This window comes from Homo sapiens, chromosome 1 (assembly GCF_000001405.40).
Source record: "Homo sapiens chromosome 1, GRCh38.p14 Primary Assembly".
Taxonomy (NCBI): Eukaryota; Metazoa; Chordata; class Mammalia; order Primates; family Hominidae; genus Homo; species Homo sapiens.
Window position 1 is genome coordinate 61,391,790 of NC_000001.11, and position 16,656 is coordinate 61,408,445.

Here is a 16,656-nt window from a genome sequence, read left to right on the forward strand (position 1 = left end):
AAACTTCTTTGCCTCTTAGGAAAGCTTTTAACTTAGTTGGAGAACATGCTGGTGATCCACTGAATCTAATTTGTCTCTCCTGGTTTAGTGCAATTGAATCATCTCAGGAAAATGAGAAGCAATTAGGTACCTGTTGCTAACAAGGCACTGAAATAATCTGCCAACAGACGCACGGTGTTTATTTATTATTGGAGTATGTCACTTGAGCAAACATTACGTTGCCTTTCTCCAAGAAGAATTGCCAGAATTGATTTTCAAATGCAGGCCTCATAGACCTAACAAGTACCACCTTTAAGGAGCATGGAACAGAGAAGCAAGAGGGCTTGTGAGCCTCGTTCAGGGTTAGTTCAAGTGCCAGTGCCTAGCCTAATGGGCAGCGTTGTGGATGGGATTTGAAGTTGCAGGACACTAAAGAAAAAGCAGCTTTTTTCTTTTTTTTTTGCAGAGGTCCTTTAAGTCCCAGTTCAGGAAATTATTAAATTCATTAGCCAGATACTTAGAACCAGCTATTACTGCCCAGCCAAAGGAAAAAAAGAGTGCCAGCAAATGTTTTAAAACTACAACTAAACAAAAGTCAGGAAGCGTGTAATTAAAACTGTACCTTTATTGTATTGTAAAGAGTTTCACTGTGACATGGAAAATATTTAAAGGAGAAGGCTGTTTAGCTAATTTGTCTGCAAGTGAACTGCCTAGTGGAACTATCCTAAATTAACTGTAAGGCCACCCACCGAGCCACCCTCATAAAGAGCCATGGCTGCTCAGCTTGGGTTTGTGTAACGTTCAATAATTACTAGATAAATGCACAACTAAAAGCTCTATTACACTAATAATTTGTACTGTGATAGATGTGTGGGACACCCTGCTGGGTTAATTTGTCATCCCTGCAGCAAACTTCTAAAGAGAGCTCTTCCGTAGTGGAATCATGTTAATATGTTGTCCCTGGGAGGACAGGTTAGAGCAGTGAGACCACTTGGCTCCTTAATCTCTTAAAGAGGCAAAGGGCCTCCAGGGTGAGTGCTGAAGAGAATAGGGTGATGAACCCAGGGGACCTGGATTTAAACTCATCTTCACAAAAGAAGCTGCTTTCCCTTGGAATTCCTTTGCCCCTTTCTCTCTGTCCCTCTCAGTCACACGCAGGCCTATGTGTCCCAGTGGTGCATGTGTGCGCACAGGCACACACAGGCATAGACCCACGTATCCATACATAGTGAAGGCAGTGGTTCTGAGCAAGGTTTCTTAGAAACCCCCTCATTTTAAGACTTCCTGGTATCGTACGCTTGGACTGTACCTTGCGTAGTCAGATAAGCCCCGTTCTTTCTGGTTTAGCTTAACCTAAGTTGATTCCATGTATAGACTCATTATTTATTTTCCTTTTTTCAGCATAGAATAAAAAATTCAAGATTGAACTTGTATCTCCTCTTTATGTGGAATGGTTTCTTCTGCCTCGCCCTCTCCCTCTCTCTCTCTCTCTCTCTCTCTCTCTCTCTCTCTCTCTCTCTCTCCCTCTTTCTCTCCCTCTCTCCCCGTCTCTCCCCCTCCCCAACCCCACCCGCACCCAGGTCTGCTATTCTCTGTGTGAGCTTTGTGCTTAGGCTAAATATCCTCAGACTGTGGCCCAGATAGCCACAGTGAGCAGCTCCAGCCTTAATTTCCACCAATTTAATAATCCCAAGAGAAAAAAGAGCAGCTTTTCAACAACAGATTTAGGGAAGGGCCTACTCCTGCATGCTTATGATTCTGATTATCTGGGTTTGGGTCATTTGCTCACTTTTAAAATAACCCTTATGTTTAAAAGACAATGGAGTGCCTCATTGGTGTGACCCGGCTTCCCTGTCCACCCATGGAGTCAGCGGGTTAAGTCCATCCTAACCACATAGGCTGAGGCTGAGGGACAGAGAGTTCCCCAAAGAAACATTAGAGCTCTGTTTCCAGAAGAAGGGGTGAAGAACTGCTGGGCAGGCAAAAATAATAGCTACCCCCAGGAGATAACAGCAAAGCTGGCCTGAGCACTGGCCAATGGGCTCAGCTTACTCACTAGCTGTGGCTTGTTCCTGCAGTTAGTGTTTGCAGAGCACAAGAAAAACCCAGGCCTATTTGTTCATGCCACAGACCCCCAGGGTCACTTGAAAACAGTTCGGCTCTTGATTCTCAATTAGCTGGTGTTACCTCATTGCATTGTATAATCCAGATTACTTTTCATGTATCTCTATTTATTCTAAAAACAATCCTAAGAATATTAAATAACCCAGAGTCTAGCATGCTGTTTGGCACACAGTAGATTCTCAACACATTTGTTGAATGAGTGATCCTACTATGAATGAGGCACCTGTGTACATTAATGCTAATCCTCAGAAAAGCCTTTCAAATTGCGCTATTCTTTCTTACCCCCCTCTGCCCCACCCAAGACAGAGTCTTGCTCTGTTGCCCAGGCTGGAGTGCAGTGGCACGATCTTGGCTCACTGCAACCTCTGCCTTCCATGTTCAAGCAATTCTCCTACCTCAGCCTCCTGAGTGTCTGGGACTACAGGTACACGCCACCATGCCTGGCTAATTTTTTGTATTTTTAGTAGAGATGGGGTTTCACCATGTTGACCAGGCTGGTCTCAAACTCCTGACCTTGTGATCTGCCTGCCTTAGCCTCCCAAAGTGCTGGGATTACAGGCGTGAGCCACCATGCCTGACCAATTGCTGCTACTATTTAAAGATAAGAAATTTAAAGATAAGAAACTGTAGGTTTGGAAATGTTAAATAATTTTGCCCAGATTAACACAGGGAGTGAATGATTTTACAACCAGAAGAGTCAAGCTCATTTTGTAGTAGAGGACACTAAGGAATATAGGAGGCTGGCGTCTTGCTAGTCAATACCCAAGCTGACATGAAAACTTGGTACCCTGACTTTAATCACTAGACTGATTATTCTGTTGCTTATTCCATTCCTTGTGTGAAATTTACCCACAGTAGGATTACTCCTCAAATCCTATGGGGTGAATTCAGGAAGATACTTCAAGTTCAGGAGGATGCCTTGAAAGTAGTCTTTGGCTGGGAGCGGTGGCTCACACCTGTAATCCCAACATGTTGGGAGACCAAGGCAGGCGGATCATTTGAGTTCAGGAGTTTGCAACCAGCCTGGGTGACAATGAAACCCCATCTCTACTAAAAATATAAAAATTAGCCGAGCGTGGTGGCACATGCTTGCAGTCTCAGCCACTTGGGAGGCTGAGGTGGGAGGATCGCTTGAGCCTGGGAAGCAGAGGTTGCAGTGAACCTAGATTGCATCACTGCCCTCCAGCCTGGGCGACAGAGCAAAACCCTGTCTCAGAGAGAGAGAGAGAGAGAAAAGTAGCCTATGCTTTAGTAATCATGTTGCACAGAAATAGAGGCTTCCATTTCAGTATAAATCTGACAATTTGGTGGAGAGAAATGCTGCAAAATAACCCATGGCTTTATGTTTGTTATGAGATTTGCTTTTCTGTCTGCTTATTTTCTGTGTGTGTGTGTGTTTTTTTTTTTTTTTAATGCAGGAAAAGACTTGCAACAGCCTAGATCCAGCACTTGGTCGTTACGCAAGAAGCATCTGCATGGATCTTGTTTTTTGAAGTCCTCTTTCACAGGACTGCAGTTTGTAATTCCATTTCACTTCCAACAGGTCATTGGATGATTCCCTCCCTTTTTCTGTTAATCTCTGGAATCATCCAATCTATGGTGGTTAGTTTTCTTCTCAAGTAATTGTTTTGATTTGTTTTTCATTCTTCATTTAGTCTCACAGTAGTATCGCTTACATGTTACGTAAAAGTTCAAGTTCCCTTCATGTAACTGGATTCTTGTCAACTTTGCCTATTAAACCATCACTCTAAATATTTCCAATAATCACAGCTGTTGCGTGGCGTTTGAACACATTTCACATCAGCCATCATGGAAGCTTAGGCAATTAGTGTGAGAATATGGTCAATTTTGATTCAAAGAGGCCCTGTCAGGACAAAGGCTGGGGCTGTATTTCACAGAGCTTAAAGTAGCACACTCAGGTTTTTTTAAACTCTAAATATTACAGTCTCCCCAAAGCCAAAGTATCTTAAAGACTGAGTCTAGATATACTGTACAACTTAATATCCCATAAACATTTTTAAAATCATTTGTTTTAAAAGCCTTCCTTATTTCAATTTTTAGATTTTAATTTTATTTTTATGGATCAGTTGTACTATTTGTAAATGTAATCCCAGAGACTGAATTCTATACATCCACTAGAGCTTAAACTAGATGAGCTTCAGAGAGTATTTAGTCCAAGCTGCTTACTGTGAGAAGAGAGACCTAGGGAGAGAGAAGCCACCCACATTTATAATATGCCAGGTAGTGGCAGAAACTAAGTTAAAACCCAAGTCTCTTTATCTAGTCTGAAAATATTCCTAAAAAATGCCCTAGATCTTCTGAAAAGCATTTGTTTTTGTTACTGTTTTTTTGTTTGTTGGTTGGTTTTTTAGATATAGGGTCTTGCTCTGTCACCCAGGCTAGAGTGCAGTGGTGTGATCATGGCTCACTGCAGCCTCAAACTCCTGGGATTAAGCAATCCTCCCACCTCAGCCTCCAAGTAGCTGGAATTACAGGCACCTGCCACCACACCTGGCTACATTTTTAAAATTTTTTGTAGAGATGAAATCTCACTGTGTTGCCCAGGGTGGTCTCAAACTCCTGGGCTCGAGTGATTCTCCTGCCTCAGCCTTCTGAGTAGCTGGGGTTACAGGTGTGAGCCATCACACCCAGCCGAAAAGTATTTCTAGTAGTCAATATGTATTAGATTTCTGATAAGCAAACTCCCAATAACTAACACGATGGGACTTTCAAGGGAAATGATAGAGATTTCCACTGTTTCCATGTTTTGGGAGGCCGTGGGGAGGCCATGCTCAGATTGTGGTGTGGTCAGAAACGTGCCTGGGGGCCAGGCACAGTGGCTCATGCCTGTAATCCTAGCACTTGGGGAGGCCGAGGCAGGTAGATTGCCTGAGCTCAGGAGTTCAAGACCACGCTGGGCAACGTGGTGAAACCCCATCTCTACTAAAAAAATTCAAAAATTAGCCAAGTGTGATGGTAGGCACCTGTAGTCCCAGCTACTCGGGAGGCTAAGGCAGGAGAATTGCTTGAACCCAGAAGGTGGAGGTTGCAGTGAGCCGAGATTGCGCCACTGCACTCCATCCTAGGTGACAGAGTGAGACTCTGTCTCCAAAAAAAAAAATAATAATAATAATGCCCGGTTGGCAGGGGCCTACGTGGTGAAGAGGGAGGTCAGTATGGACACTCAAGGATTGTAGGTCTAAGTGAAAAATAGCATCTAAAGGGAGATGGCCCCATAGTTCTAAGCTTCTGGGTTAAATCTCACAGTCTGAAATTTAAGTAAAGGCAGGAATTCACAGTATGTTTGGTCAGCAAAGACTATTTGTCTAGGTCTTTAAAGAACTTTTATCTTTACTTAGATATCTATGGTATCTATGATTATTAGGTCAAGATTGTTGCTACTGCTGTTGTTGCTTTTACTTTTCATTTTGTTGTTTGTGGAATTATTTTCAAGGCCCTCATGTCATATCCATGCTGATAGTATATACTATTTTATCAATATTTATGTACTTTTTTGTCCAAGAGACAGGCGAGCAACAAGTACCTCTTGTTCCATCACTCCTTTCTTTCATGTATTCTACAATCAGAACAGGTCCTAGCACACAGGAGCAAATTTCAATGTATTCATTGCCTATCCCATTCTTGTCTATGATAGTACTATCATACTACAAAAGAAGCTATTGATCACTTAATTGTGTGATCAGAAACTGTGCCGTGTGCCTTATATACATTGTCTCATTTAGTCTTCACAACAGCGCTATGAGGTATTATTAGCCCCATTATACAGATGCCAAAACTGAGTTGTAGAGAAGCTCAGCAACCTGAAGCATAGCTCGTGATAGAGCTTAGAATTTAAACTCATGTCTATCTGACTCCAAAGCCCTGGTCCTTATATTATACTGCACTGCTTTTCTGAGTCGTATGTTTAACTTAGAATTATATACGCACACACACGGATGTGGTCAGCCAGCACAGACCAAGGCATATTAAGTAATGGTGAAGACAGACAATCAAAAGTCTACCGTGGAGAGTTAATGAGATATCAAAGGTGACCAGATTGCTTTGGAAAGCTTCAGAAAGCTGAGGTGGAATTGGTATTGACTGTCAGGGGTCTGACTCACAGAGCACAGCAGGTGCTTGGAGAGTGAACAAGAATTTTGTGGGTCTACACCAGGGACTGGAAAACTATTGGGCCCACAGATCCAATAGCCCTTTGCCTGTATTTGAAAATAAACTTTTATTGGAACACAGCCGCGCTCATTTGTTTATGTAATGTCTGTGACTGCTTCTGCACTGTAGCAGCGGAGTTCAGCAGTTGCAACAGAGACCATATAGCCTGCAAAGTCTAAACTATTTAGTATCTGGTCTTTACAGAAAATGTTTGCCAACTCCTGGTCTAGTCAGGGCCTTGAGCAACAAAGGTCTTGAAGTAGCTAAAATTGATCTAGATAAAAATTTTAAAAGACTTTGGCCTTCTGTTTTCTTGTGTGGGTCTTTCTTTTTCTTTCTGTTTTTCCAAAAGACATTAGAATTTGATCTCTTAGAAAATCCCCTGAATTCAAATGGAATAGACTCTATCAACCATCTTGGAAACTAACCGTGGCATAAAGTTACTTTGTCTGGTAGCAGTAATACAAAAACACTGGTGTTTTGCAAGCTGTCAAGCCATGTCATATATTTCTCTCAATTGACATATCTGGGTCCTTTCACGTGCATCTTCGTGATGTTAAAAGATATGTACCATATGTTTTGAAAAACCTTGGCTCACCTCGAGTCAAAAGCTTTGTTATTTAGAAAAGGCATCACCTCTTAAAGGTTTGAAAAGCATTGCCAATTCTTCTTTCCTGTATCTCTGTTAAAATAAATCCCTTAACTCCAAACTTCTCAGCTTTCATCAATGGCAGGCCTGATTCATGCATGATTTATAAATTAGGGCTATGGACCATTAAGATAGATTTCTCAGCTTTAGGTGGGGTATAATGGTGTTATATAGTGTGGTTTTGAATTTCTGAAGAAGCAAGATACATAGTAGTTGACAACCCAAGCCATTTTTATGTTCTATTTACCCTTATGGAAAGCTTCTTTTGTTTTTTAAGTGGGATTTTTTTCTTCGATTTTCTTTTCCTTTTGAAGCTTTGCCGTATTACAAATTTTTACTTCTAATTATGAGTAGTCAAGAGTTCTTAATGCCACCCTTACGCTATGGAAGTGGTAACTTTCATCTAAAGAACATCTTATTTCTGAAGACAGATAAGAAGGTTTTTCTTATAATGGCGCTAACAGAGAAAAACTGTTTGGAATCTCACCTGTTGCCACTGCCTTTGTATTCATTAACACTAAGACTGTGAAGTTTTGCAGATGCCAGGGCTCAGGAGTGATTATTCGCTCTTGTGAGGGAAGAAGCCTGTATATAACACTGCCTTAAGAGCACACTGTGCCTGAAGGAGGATTATATTTTATTGTTTGTGTTGCTCTCTTGACAGCTTTTCTTTGGAGCCTCCCATAGAAGAGAGACTGGGATTTAAAGGCTGATGCCAGAAAGCAAAAGCTAACGTGAAAAGAATCCAAGTCTCTGTCCAGTGTGTGAGAATCTGCAACGGTTCATGGACAAGGAATAAAACAATTAAGGCAATGTCAGGGTTATAATACAGAAGAACATATTTCAACCCATAAAATTTTGGTTTGAGGGAAAATGTGTGAGAGTTATTAGAGTTCTTGGAGGATGAGCTTGAGAAAAACTACTGGAAATACTAAGAGATTACTTTCTTCTTCTATCTCTTTTTCTTCCCTAAGACTTATAAAAGCAGAAAAATGCAAGATTCCAAGCTTGTCTGGACACAGCTCCCTGATACCATCCTATTTCATATGGCCCACGCTTAGATTTTCTAACTAGTTCTGACTCCTCTTAAGAGCACTCTTATGTGTCTACAAGACCTCCTCCCCATAGTGGACTCTCAGACCAAGAATCACTGGTTGTATTATAGAAGTCTTGCAACATATCCAATAATACAATAATGATCCTGACCTTCTCCTTTCTCAGTCTTAATAAATTCTGCTTTTAACGGAAGAAGCATTTTTGAGTTAAACATGTATATGTATTTTTTCAATTGTTTGAATTTTTAACTTTTTCTCCTTTAAACTAAAACCAAGAGAGGATTTTTAAGAACTGGTGGGCTGCTGGACTGGTGGGGAGGGAATGAACAAGTAAACCAACCTGACTGACCTGCTTTCGTTTTTCAAAGTATCCAGTAATATGATCATTTTGTAATAAATAGCTGAGTATTACACCCTTTGGGAAATTGTGGCTCTCTGTTTCTTTTCGTTGTGGCTACTTTGTTCAGGATGTGTAGGCAGTGCCATTGCAGCCAAAGAAACCTGATCAAATTTCCTTCCTTCCCATCTTATTTATATTCTTTGTGAAAAGCCCAAACAGTTGTTTTAAACAAGTCTGGCCACTCGTTAAAGTTTAAACTAGTAGTGAGATCCATCAGGAGTGAAGTGTTTCTGACACTCTCTGCTGCTCCTGGCCTAGGGTACTAAGAGTATTAGATGCCGGAAGCAGCCAATTTTGTAGTGTCTTTTAATACACAAAATTGTATTAACATCAATGTGGATACAGATGGATGCACTGCAATAAACTGTAACCACTTGAGAAAAGCCTTTATTGACTCTCAAGTAAATAATGCACATTTTAAAGGATCTAAATATGCATTTACATAATGTGCTATAATTTTTTATGGTGTCAACTACTCACACACACACATCCATAAGACATGTTTTTCTTCGTCAAAAATCTGGACTCATACCATTCTTCGTGCATTCCATTAGCATCATGCCAAATTCATAATGGTAGTTTTTTTCTATAAAGCCTGATCTGGCCACCTCAAAATATAGTTGATGAATTTTACTCTTTAATTGATTTAACCCCAGTGGCTCTTTCTAAAATGATTTGAGACAAATAAAAACTTAGGTACAGTAAAAACATCCAAGATGAAGAGAGAAAACAAGAAATAGGAGAGAAGAGAAACAAAGTTAGGCAGGCATTGATGACATCTTAATTCTGAGTTTCAGTGGGTTTCATTGTCTGGTAGAAGAGGAATAGCAGGTTATCTAGAGAAATAGCATCTATTTAATAATAACTAGAGCTTTGTGATGTCAGTAACGTAACTATTTTCTGTTTGAAGAAATGAAGGTTCAGGATCTCGAATGATTTCTCTCCAGTTGCACAGTGAACTGATGACTGAACCAGAAAGTCCAAAGCATGAGAAAGTAAGGGTTGCAAAGGATGACCCTTTAAAATGCAGACTCAGCAATTGCCCAATTTGAAACTACAGGCTAAATGATTTCCTGGTATTAATTAAGAATTAATTGATTCTTATAAATCAGTCATTGTAGAATTAATTCCATATAGTACCATATGTTCTTGTGTTTGTGTTAAACTCTGTTCCACAAGGAAATGGTGAATAAATTGTTTTTAGTAAAATAAAAAACGAAGGTCTAAATTTAAGTTGCTAATGATTGTCTTTTACGTATTTAACAACAACAAAATGAGGGAAAGGATGTTTATAACAGTTAATGAGGAGATGACAGGGTGCTTTTGAGTTATTTCTTCTATCTCATTTCTTTAAAGATCAGCTCTGCTTGATCTTTGCTCAAGTGAATTTCTTTTTTGGGCAGCATTTTCTGTAGGCCACCGTGATTTCATAATCTAACAATTACCCATCACTTTCCATTGAGCACCTGAGGCAGCGGCACTTTATCTTCAAGGTCAGCCTACCAGGGGCTCTTGTCAGCAGAATTGGCACCTTTGTGTTTGGCATTCTGCAAAAGTTGAGTGTTTCGTTTTGTTAGGCTCAGTATATTCTCAGCCTAGTTTGGGAAATATCACATTCTGTCCTTAACTAGTGACTATTCCATCAGACGCAGGGTACCGAGTACAAGTTTTTTGCCACCAGCAAGGAGGACTGTACCATGTTGGATGAAAAAATTCCTTTGATTCTTGAAAGCCAATGGCATAATTTGCAGAGTAAGAGATGACCAGAGCCATTTAACTTTTTAGCTTGTGGGTTTTAACAAGCAACAACAATAGATCCCAAGATTTATCATTCATTGCAGGAAGTCCTAAGTTTTACTCATTTTTCTTTTTTTTTTTTTTTTTTTTTTGAGACGGAGTCTCCCTCTGTCGCCCAGGCTAGAGTGCAGTGGCGCGATCTCGGCTCATTGCAAGATCCGCCTCCCAGGTTCATGCCATTCTCCTGCCTCAGCCTTTGGAGTAGCTGGAACTACAGGCACCCACCACCACACCTGGCTAATTTTTTTGTATTTTTAGTAGAGATGGGGTTTCACCGTGTTACCCAGGGTGGTCTCAATCCCCTAACCTCATGATCCGCCTGCCTCAGCCTCCCAAATTGCTGGGATTACAGGCATGAGCCACCGTACCAGGCCAGTTTTACCGATTTTTCTAAAAGCTCCCTGGCTCTTGACCAGGTGGAGAAACCAAGTTTTGGTTTTAGCAAATTTTATTCTATGTTTAACGGTATGATTATCTTATTAACCTCTGTTTATTCAGTCATTCACTGCACATTCAACAAATATTTATTGAGTGCCAGACTCAGTTCTGGGGATATTGCAGTGGGTTGAAAAGGTATTTACGAAGATGGAGAAGGCTGGGAGAAGTGTAAGCTTGAGAGGAGAAGGTAATGAAAATTCTGATTCAAATAGGTTATGTTTGAGACATCCTCAATTGTATGACCGATGGCAAAATTTCATCTGTTTTGGCTCAGATTTGTTTCTTGAGCCCATAGTAGGAGCCTATGAATATTTATTGGGCAGATTAAAGATTGCATAAATTAAAGGGTTGCACCAGACCACCTGCAAGACATGGATTGGAAAGTTGCTTCCCCTCCAATCGCCCATTTCCAGTCTTTTTGAAAACTACAGATGTCACTCTGAACCCCATAGCATGAGCCATTTCAGTCATTAGTCAGAAAGTGCCCCAATCATGAGGAGATCCCGGTAGGGAACAAAGAACCTATGCCCAGCAACTAATACAGATGCATTCTTTTTCACAGCCTTTAGCCATGCAAGTGGGATAGTGGTAGAAGTGATGGCCTGTCTTACTGAGTTTCTCTTCAGTATTATGAGTCATTCTTGGTATTGGAAAGGTCTTATTTTCCAAAATGTGGACATTCCTGTGATTTTCAGTTTAAAGATTTAAACCGAAGAAAGGAAAGATAAATACTTTCATCTCCTCTAATTTGGGAGAGGTTTCTCTGGCTCTCATTGAGAAGCAAGAGCTGCTGCTATCTTGGCTTGACTTGGTTTGAATATCTGCAACCTTCCCATGCACTGCTCTTATCCTCCAGCCAGTTTTATCAATCATCCTTCTAATTCAAGGGCAAAAGTTCTCTTAGAGAAGTTATTAGGCACCTCACATAAGTTTTTTTAATCTAATGTAATCTTCTTGTTCACATGAAATTTACCAGGGTTCAAATGTAAGGGAGCAGTAGTTGTCTGAGTCTTTTATCAGTTTTTATGGGCACAGGGCCAACATTTTAGCAGGGGTCACTGCCTGCTTACCCTGTGGGTTCCCCTGCTGTAACATATGTGCATTTCTGAGTTTGTCTTTGAAATGGCATCTGAAGGCGACATAAACCATCCGTGTAAAGTGAGGCACCCAAATTGCATGGGCTCATTAAGTGATCATTTACTACATACTTCAAAAAATTTTCATCCTGAATTAGTCCCTAGAAATTTCCTTGAAAGGGGTATAAGAGGTTTAACAATGAATTATTGTCTATGGATAGCTCAGCGTGAAAGGGGATCCATATGTGCAAACTAGAATTTGTCATATGTAATGTCAGTTAAGTCAGGTCTAATCTACCAAATACATTTTTTATTGCTTGCTTCATTAAAAAGGCTCTTAAGGTAATGAATAATCTTCAGCCTCACCAAGGATTATTAATGCCTTTATAACTCATGTCCACTGAAAATAGAAAGACAGCTTGAAACTCTACCCTAATCTAACCTCCGTGTTTGTCTTAGAGCCTTAAGGAAGAAAATCTGTCAGACCTATCCAGTGTTAAATTCAGTCACATGAGCAATATTGTGAATCGGGCCAGGAAGAGAAATAAAGGAGGAAGTTGAATCGGGTTCAGCTATGACAAAGCAGGTCTTTCTTTTCATAACCCTGATGTTTTCTTTTCCTGCAGCAAGTCCGCATGCAACACCATCGACTCTTCATTTCCCGACATCACCCATTATCCAGCAGCCTGGGCCTTACTTCTCACACCCAGCCATCCGCTATCACCCTCAGGAGACGCTGAAAGAATTTGTCCAACTTGTCTGCCCTGATGCTGGTCAGCAGGCTGGACAGGTGGGGTTCCTCAATGTAAGGAAACCTCTTTTTTTCCATTTCTTTAGAAATGTTAGCCGAATATAAAAATAACAAGGGGAGACCTTATGATCATGTGACGTTGTGCTCTAATGTTGTGCTGACTGACTGCAGGCAAATGTCATATTTATTCTAGATTGTGGGAAAGTTAACTTGGTCTAAGAGTGATTAGTCAGGGTTTAAAAACAGTGTTTGTGTTAAGTTTGCAACTGTCAAGTTTATGGATATAAATCAGCTCAAGGGTGAACTATATAACCTTCTAAGTTCTGTGGGCTGATCATTCCACCTCGTGCATTCTAACCCCAGGGCTCATACAGTTAACAAAATAGAAAGACCAAGTAGTTTTAAATAATGATTTGGGGTGGTAGAGAAAGGTAGGGAGATGAAGGGGACAGATGTTTCAGATCAACTAAGTTGATATTTTTGAAAAATACAGTCTTGTAACACTTTAGATCAAGTTGACCAGTACTTGAACTCAAGATGCTGAAAGTACAGTTTATTATGGTTTGTTATTTCTGCAAGTCATTATCTTTCCCACTTATCTTGGTATAAAGCTAAACAGTGTTCAATAGCTTCACATGAATGTTTTTATTTTTCCTCAAATAAACCAAATAATCACAATTTGAAATGGCATTCCAAATGTAAAAGTGATTTTTAAAAATCAGAAATTTTATTTCAAATATAGGATTAGATGTTTACAGTGGAAAGCTGTATCTCAAGGCCAATAATAATAAACAACGACCAGCATAAAGCCAAATTTGATTTTCCTTTTCTACTAATAACTGTGCATGAAGTCACAGACTAGCCATAATTATTACTGGCCAATTTAGGATAGTATGTCACACCATCCTGTCACCGATTTTTTTCACTTGCAGAAATACCTGATTCTGCATATCTGCGCCAGAACAGGCAGCTTTGACTAATGTCTGGTGATGTGTTAGCAGATACATTTCTGTCTAGACAACAAATCAATATGGTGCCTCTTTTCTTTTTGCTTGTACATTCATTTGCTTGGCTTATTCTAAAGCATTCACTTATGGACTCTCAGCCCACTCAGAAATAACGCAAAGGCAAGGTTGCTGGCAAGAAAGCACAGCATTCTGATCGTCAGACGAGGTAGTCTTTGAGGAGCAATACTAAATATATAAGTACTAAATATATAAGTAAATGTTGATGGGGGAGTGAGACTGCCTCTGTAGAATTATTAAGCTTAAATGTAAAAGCCTGGGACAGCAGAATCTCCTTCAACCGAATTTTGATTGGGGACTAAATGTGAACTGTTGTCGTTGGTTGAATAGAGGCCTCTTGGGAAACAATGAAAAAACTGAGCTGATCACCAGCATCAAGCATCTGACTTCTAAATTATTAACCATTTTTGTAATAGTCCTGACACCCTATATAACTGTCAAATGCCCAGTTTTGCATTTTGATCAGAATTTTATAGGACTTAAGGCAGGTCTCTTCATGAAACTATTTTGAAAAAATTGAAAATAAAATGGGTTTTATTGCTCTCTTTGGAGGGGAATTTTTTGTTAAAGAGCTGTTATTTGGTTGTTTTAACATCAGGCAGCAAAATAAATATGACTCTTATGGCATATGCTTATATAATTTAAATCAAAATTAGAAGTGATATTTTTCCCTAGCAGACTTCTGACAGCTGAATTCTAAAGTTTCTGTGCCTGATGTTATACAATATGTGAACAAAATTTTCTATGTTCACTTAACACATTTATTAAATGTTATATAATATCAACTTTGAAGAGTGAAAATAAAATATTACTTTTTTATCTCAAGTGCATATTTAGGAAAATTTATTCTATCTATGTAAAGAAACATAGTGGAATAATGCCACAGTCCATAAAACACTTAGATATTAAATATTTAATAATCATGAGAAAGATAATGAAGGTAGCAGTTAATACAGAAAAATACAAAAGATTCCAAGCAAAAGTTGGTTACTCAGGGGACAAATCCAAAGTGATAATTGGCAGGTGATTTTATGAAACCAGATGCAAAGAAGGACAATGTAGTTCAAGAGATAAGTTTAGGATGCATGGAGCACATGTGGCTAAGAGTACTTTTGTGAAATGCCTTAAGAACAGAACCCAACAATGGACATTTCCGTATGGGCTTATGGAAGAATTGAAGCAGCTAGATACTTAGTAATTTACATTAAAGGTGCCTGATGAATATTTTGTTTTCAGAAGCAGCTAATGGTTGCTGTCTCTTTCTTCTTTTTCTTGTACGTGTGTTTTCTGCCCCCCCCCCCCCCACAGCCCAATGGGAGCAGCCAAGGCAAGGTGCACAACCCATTCCTTCCCACCCCAATGTTGCCACCGCCACCGCCACCACCGATGGCCAGGCCTGTGCCTCTGCCGGTGCCAGACACAAAGCCTCCAACCACGTCAACAGAAGGAGGTGCAGCCTCCCCCACGTCACCAAGTAAGTATGGCTGCGACAAGGCGCCGGTCACTTCTAAAGCTGTATGCACTGGAATCCACACTTAGGCTTTGTCCCTCACTGTATAGGCTCTAGAAAGAGGCACAGATCCCCAGTGATGTTGTAGCATGAGTTTGCCAGACCGAGAATCAAAGTGAACATGACTCTTGGGTACTCCACCAGATGAGGAAAACACTGGGTGTTGGGTGGATGAGATGGTGTAGCTACATACCTAGGACTGAAGTCAAGTTATGAGCTATTACATTTTGTATATTATTTGAGGGATTTCAAATGCTATTCCCATCATCAAGCAGCAGCTACTTACATGGATTCTGCTTAGAAAAAGTTCCTCATTCTTACAGACAGCCCTGCCTTCCAGGAACTTGCAGTCTAAGAGAAATGCACTTGAAAGTTATATACCTCATACATCAAATAGGAGAAAATGTCTAGATCAAAGCACCAACTCAAAGGTGTGTACACTGACCATTCGCTGAGAGTAAGAGCCTGGCAGAAGATCAATGCTAGTAGCCCTGGCAGTCGCATGGTGAGGTTTGGCAGAGGTTGGGGTAGGGGCTGGGGTACGGAGATAGAGGGGAGAGTAGGATGGAAGGAGGAGAGAAGTCTTGGCTCTTCTCTGAACAGTCTGAGAACATTTAATCAAAGAATATAAGATTTCACAACCCTTTTAGATGATGGGAATGATTACTTGAACTAGAGAGAGAGTAATTCTCCAGATATTCCCTGATGTTTTAGATATGGCAAGGGGATAGAAATAGTTTGAATGCACAAATGTGCCTTTTATTAGTGCCTGGAATAATGACAAAAAGAGTGATGGCTGGAGTTCCTAGGTGATGGATGCCCTAGCCTTGATAGATGGTGTGATGAGCACCTTCCCTAAAGCTGTAAAGAGGCAGCAAAGTATAAGAGAAGGATAGGAGCTGTGGCAGTGTGACCCTAAGGAAAGCCTTCAAGGGGGTTGTCAAAAGAAGTGAGACTGAGGCAAGGAATCTACAGAGGAAAGGATGTAAGAGCAGCATAGGAAAGGAGTGTTAAGGCCAAGAACTTGAACCACAGTAATAGGTGTAGAATGGAACGGGACATGGTGGGGAGTGTTTTGTAGACATAAGCATCGGGATTGGACAGTCCTCTGGATGAATGCGGTGAATGAAGATTCTAGGCCTCTCAGCTTCCTTACCTTCAGTATTGGAATAATAATGATAGTGAATACAGGAGGGAAAGAGACAAAGAAGAAAACTGAGCCCCTGTTTATGCCATGTTCATAGAATTTGATTCTGGGGGCACGGAATCCAGATGGCTAGAGGCCCTCATGGACACATCAGAGAGTGAGCTTTGGGTTATCCAGTATTTATGCATTTTGATAATATATGCAGAAATGAGCAGCACTGTGCATAGATTCTGTATCAATAGCCAAAAGATTGAAGGTTCAGGGGCAATCTAGGGAAGACCTACTTCTCTTGGTAAGAGGTGATTCAACACTTGTCAACAAAGGAGAAAACCCTCAGTGTCCAATGACAGAGAAGCAAGCTGGGCTTGGCCCATGGATCTTAGAAGCTCAGCTTAGAAGGAAAGCCTCTGCTTCTCAGAGGTTTGAGGCTTGTTCAAAGATGTCACATAAATACACAATAAGTGCCCTGCTCGTTGTGTATTTATGTAACATCTTTAAACAAGTCAGAGAAATAACTGCCCCAGACTCTACTTAC

General features: G+C 40.4%; 1 protein-coding gene across 4 annotated transcripts in view; it reads left to right on the forward strand.

Annotated features, from left to right (window-relative positions):
- NFIA (nuclear factor I A) overlaps positions 1-16,656 on the forward strand; it is a 385,562-nt gene that overhangs the window by 314,563 nt on the left and 54,343 nt on the right. For all 4 annotated transcript variants that reach the window (NM_001145511.2, NM_001145512.2, NM_001134673.4 and 1 more), the window contains 2 exons: positions 12,315-12,493; positions 14,773-14,938. In NM_001145511.2, the coding sequence (NP_001138983.1) occupies positions 12,315-12,493; positions 14,773-14,938 (345 nt within the window). The remainder of the gene's footprint in view (positions 1-12,314; positions 12,494-14,772; positions 14,939-16,656) is intronic.